Source organism: Homo sapiens, chromosome 1, assembly GCF_000001405.40.
Source record: "Homo sapiens chromosome 1, GRCh38.p14 Primary Assembly".
NCBI classification, from domain to species: Eukaryota; Metazoa; Chordata; class Mammalia; order Primates; family Hominidae; genus Homo; species Homo sapiens.
In genome coordinates, this window is record NC_000001.11 from 119892534 (window position 1) to 119897929 (window position 5396).

The 5396-nt window shown below is 45.5% G+C and overlaps 1 protein-coding gene across 1 annotated transcript; it reads right to left on the reverse strand.

Annotated features, from left to right (window-relative positions):
• Positions 1-999: 999 nt before the first annotated feature.
• ADAM30 (ADAM metallopeptidase domain 30) lies at positions 1000-3982 on the reverse strand. Its single transcript, NM_021794.4, has one exon. The coding sequence runs from the start codon at positions 3801-3803 to the stop codon at positions 1431-1433; it is 2373 nt and encodes a 790-aa protein (NP_068566.2). The 5' UTR covers positions 3804-3982; the 3' UTR covers positions 1000-1430.
• Between the last annotated feature and the right edge of the window lie 1414 nt (positions 3983-5396).

Here is a 5396-nt window from a genome sequence, read left to right on the forward strand (position 1 = left end):
TTAATAATACACATGTAGCTCTTAGAAGGCTGCTGGCACATATGCTGAGAAAAAACAGTCTGGGGACCAACCTTCCCTGTGAGACTGCCGCAAGTTCATCTTTCATTAGAAGTGTGACTAAGAAACAGGAGGCCGAGCGTGGTGGCTCACGCCTGTAATCCCAGCACTTTGGGAGGCCAAGGCAGGTGGATCATGAGGTTGGGAGATCGAGACCATCCTGGCTAACACGGTGAAACCCCGTCTATACTAAAAATACAAAAACTTAGCTGCGCGTGGTGGCGGGCACCTGTAGTCCCAGCTACTCAGGAGGCTGAGGCAGGAGAATGACGTGAACCCTGGAGGCAGAGTTTGTAGTGAGCTGAGATCGCACCACGGCACTCCAGCCTGGGCGAGAGAGCAAGACTCAGTCTCAAAAAAAAAAAAAAAAAAAAAAAAAAAAGAAACAGGAGATTGGGATGGGGCACTGCAGGCCTGCGGTGTTGCCTGAGGAGGGAGAGGAGCACTGAGGTAAGATGAGAGAAAAGCAGGAAGACCCAGCCTAGAGCAAGACCAAAAAACTTAGCCTGACACAAATCTGAGAGGGACAATCCCCCCTTGGATATAAGAAGTGGATACTGACTCCTGCCAAGGCACCCCTCAGTCCTCTCCTCCCACCAAAATCACTGTGCAAACGGGAAGGAAGATGTGGAGGCAGAGACACGGGGGTCCTTGAAAGGCGTTCCTCACTCCTCCTCTGTGCTACTTAGGAGAGTGGCAAACATAGGGCCAGGTGTCATTCAGCACACACGCACTCACAAAAGCTCTGCCTCTGCAAGCAGACACTGCAAACACAAAATTTTCTTAACAGCCTTGCCCCAGGACACTGCCAGGGCCTGGCATCATCTTGTCATCATTGCACTGTGGTGCAATGCAAGAGTTAGGACAGCTCAGCGTCATTAACCCACCTGAGATCACCCCAAATACTGAAAATGCTTATAGAATCATTTTCTATTCATAAAATGTGTTGTCGGCATTTATTGATCAGCATGGGTGCAGGTGCGGATGTTCACATGGATCAAGTTGAGGGAGGCAGAGGGAGAGGCAGACAATTGCTTTGTTCCCTGGGATTCTGAGAAACAAGACTATACCTTGAATAGCATGGTAATTCTAGGAAACTCACTACTTTCAGAGCTTTAGTGTATGGAAAAGCCATTAGAGCATGATTCTCAGAATACCCACAACTTGGTCACAAACTGAGGGGCAAGTGAACACTCGAGAAGTAGAATGCACTGGTTTGTTTCCAAAACAAGAATGCTGTTTATTTGCTGATCAAAACTTGTGGGAAAAATTAAAGTAAAAAAATATTGGGAGAAGAATGGAAAGCCTTTGGATAAATGATTAGCTGGTTAAATAAATGAGCCTGTGTTACTGAATGAGTATGGATTGCCCGGTTACTTTTTTTGTTTCTTGACACTCTTTGCTTTGGGTCGTTTACTTTCAATGTTTGCTTTAGATTCTTCCTGTCCAGTTTTTGCTTTAGATTCTTCCTGTCCAGTTTTTGCTTCAGATTCTTCCTGTCCAGTTTTTGTTTTAGATTCTTCCTGTACAGTTTTTGTTTTAGATTCTTCCTGTTCAGTTTTTGCTTTGGATAGTGGCATTTTTTCCTGTTTGGGTTTTAAGTGGTTTCCTATCACTTGCCGGAAAAACACAAAAACCACTGAAAGGATTAATAAAATAAGGCGAAACATTATGATGGACACAACCCAAATTGACGAGGGAATCGCCCCTCTGAGCAGTCCTGGAGGCCCACTGTCAATGCTTCCTCCATACCCCACTTCCTCACAGAATGGAGGTGCCCACCCATACATGCAGTGGCAGTTTTTTCTGTTGTTGCAAACACCCCGGGTATTGCATTTCTCAGGCAAACAGTCAAACTGCAGGACTGAGCTATTGACGCAATTTTTTTTAAAACATACCCGGCCTTCTCCACAGGAGGTGCCATCATTTATCATACCTAGGTCAGGTATTCCCATGGGTTTCATGGATAGATGATAGCCTGTGCCCCAGCACATGAGATTTTCTGCCTGTAAATGAGTAGAAATTATAGTCGTATGCTCTGGCAAATCAGGGATGGTTTCAACATTTATACACTGTAGCCTGCCACATATTGAATTTGCACTTTCACACTTTTTAAAATTTCGAATTCCTGTAATCTCACAGTTACCAAATTGATCACCTATTAAGTTAACTGCATCATAGCACTCACTAGGAGCCTCCATGGCATCAGGTCCAAAAATGCTTTGGCACTGCATATATCTGGATCTGCACCCCTTCCTGAAACAACGGCCTTCATACTTGCAAGGGGTTCCATCCTGCTTATAAACGTCATTTGGGCAGGAACTTGAATTCCCGTCGCAGTACTCTGCAAGGTCACATTCATTTCCTTCCTGCCTACACACGTATCCAGATGGACGAAACCGACAATCATGACAGCAAAGTCCAATGCTACAGTTGGCACCTGGTTGCAACTTACAATTTGATTGGCAACACCGATCTTTCTGACACTCCTCTGTGGAACCACAGTCACATTCCTCATTGTCCTCCACAATTTTGTTTCCACATCTCTTAAGCACATAACCTAGTCCTGGGATATTATTTAGACATGTTGCTCCCGAAGAGATATGTTTAAAAAAAGAGATATAACTGCAATTGCTAAACCCAGTGCGTCCTGAGCCCATGATGCAATTAAGCCTACCCCTACATTGGCAGTATTGTTCATCATGTGACATTCCTACAGCATGACCCAGCTCATGAGCAGACCAGGTAGCAGGGGCAAGGATATTTGTATCTAGTAAAGTACTCACTGATCCAGCATATTCTAGAGAACACACTTTTCCAAACGACCATGCAAGAGCATCATTATATTTTCTTTGAAGATATAAATGTGCCCAATCTGATGACAGGCGAGCATTTAATACACTTTTTTTATATATTACAAATCTGCCTAAAACTTCAGCTAACTCTGGATATCCAACGCGTATTTTGTTAAAATCTGTCCATACTTCAAGAGCCTTTAAGTGTATCCTCATACGAACATCTTGAAAGTAGGTGTCCATAATCCCAGTCAAAAGAATGGCATCATGTATGACTTGAGAAAGATTGTTGTTCACAAACCTATACCTACTTTGATCAAAGAGTAGGATCAATTCCAAGTACTTTGGGTGTTTATAGGATCCAGGAAAGTCCCTTAGCCTCGCCTTATTCTCATAAGGGGCCATCTGCCATTCTATTTCATCATCACTTAAGCCACAAACCTGATTCCCAAACTGCTCTTTCTTCAGGAGATAGACGACATGTTCAAAACTGGGAGAGGCCTTGAGGGGCTCAATTTGGTAATGTTTGGCATCAATGTTAAATACACCTCGGAGACCCCCCATGCATGTGCTTATAGTAGCTTTAGAGTCCAGAGACTCTTTCACGGAGCCCATGTAGTTGCAGTCCTTTGGTATGTAAGGATGATCCTCCAGCAGTTCCCCATGTTCTGTGAAGGAGAAAACGCGCAGATGTCGGGGCAACAGAAGTCTCTTGGGCCACAAATGGAGGACGTGCTTCTTGCCTTTTAACTGCAGTAGGTAGGACACGGGACTGACCACACCCTGCACCTCTCCCCGGAAGCTCAGCTTCTCAGGAATGGTGACTTCATACGAGTCAAACTCCCCTTCAGGGTGAAAAATTACATCTTCGCCAAGAGACTTAAGGAGCATTGTCGGAACTAGTAGAAGGAGCAAACGGCATTGGGAGAGGAAGATCTGCACTGACCTCATGGTCTGTTCCCTACTCAGCCTCAGTTTGCTATTCAGTCCCTGCAACTCTGGCCTCGCGAGTCAGATTTCTGGGGGCCGCCGCTAGAGGCGCCTGAGCTCAAAACCCGGCTCCCCTGGCAGGGTTTCCGGGGGAGCCCGTAGCCTCCCAGGGCTCGGTCTAGCTGGCGTCCGCAATGCGCGCGTGACCTGTCCAACGCATCCAGTTCGTTTTCCGGGCCGTACCGTTGGGCGCAGGTGGAAGAAAGGAGGGAAACGTGGGCGAGAATAAAAGAGAAAAGAGGGGCTGTTGGCACGTGGGTTGGAGAGAGGGTAGAGAACACCATCGGAAATGGAGAAGGAATAGAGAAATAGGAAGAACAAAGGAGAACGTGTTAAAGGCTCACTGTATCTTTGCCTTTACTCTGTGTCTTTACACCTTAGGACACAGGTTGGAATCCGATGTTTTATGGGCCACTGTCCTAACTTCATTGTTGGACATTTCCCAGTTTTCCACTAGGGTTGCTTGTGGCAAAAGAAAGGAGCATCAGAACCAGCAAGAGTGGAAACAGCCTGAAAGTATCAGCGTAGACTCCACACCCCCAGCCCCACTCTGGGCAGTTCCTCTGTCTTCGGCTGCGGCTTCTTTTTAGAGAAGGCCCTGAACCTTAGTTGTGGGCCCAGGCAACAGAAAGGTCCTGAGCTCATTTTGCCTGGGAGTGCTTTCTGCTGTTTGTCTTTGGGGTGCCAGGGGTCAGTGTAATTTTTGTGTGTCCATGTGCAATGGTGGGAAGAACCTAGAAAAAGTGCCTGTTATAAGAGCAAACCCAAGTGCTTTCTGAGAAAGGTAGATAGCTGGTTATGTTCCTAGTCGAGCGATGAGGCTGACTCCACAAAGGAAGAAGCCTCTGGCTCAGAAAATGGAAGGGTTTATCGTCCGTAAAAGGGCAAATCGGAAGGTCATGAGGTGATTCTGAGGGATTCTGATAAGAGAGGAATATTTTCAGTTTTGTTCCTGGGAGATTCCATCTGGCTGAATTACAAGGAAAGGTTAAAAAGGAACAGGCTTGAGTCAGGGAGACTAGTTAAAAGCTCTTGTACCAAGCAATGTTGTCTGTTGGCAGAAAGCATGGCCTTAGGGCTGATAATAAGCAGTACTTATGGAAGACTGGCTCGTTTCATGCTACACACCCCGCTATGCTCTGCATAAATCAGCCCATTAAATCTTCACCATGACCCTAGGTTATAGGTACTACTATTATCACCCATACTTTGCACATGAGGACATGAAAACCGTACCATGGTTCAGAAGGTGGCGTCAGCTGAAGCAATCCCTGTGAACATTTAGGCAACTCTACCCGGAGCCTGTGTTCTTTACTAGTCAACTCTGTTGTCTCTTTAGGGAAGGACAAAAGTTGACAGCTCCAAGAGATTTAAAACCACTTAGACTCTGCTGGACTTAATGCTTGCATGGATTCTCCCAGAATGAAAGAGGCAAAAATGAAAAAGAATGTTGATGTTTCTGGCTTAGGTGTATGTGTGTGTCATGGTTCTAACCACTCAAAGAAGAAAAACATCAGAACAAATAGATTTAGATAAAGGAAATAAATATGAAAA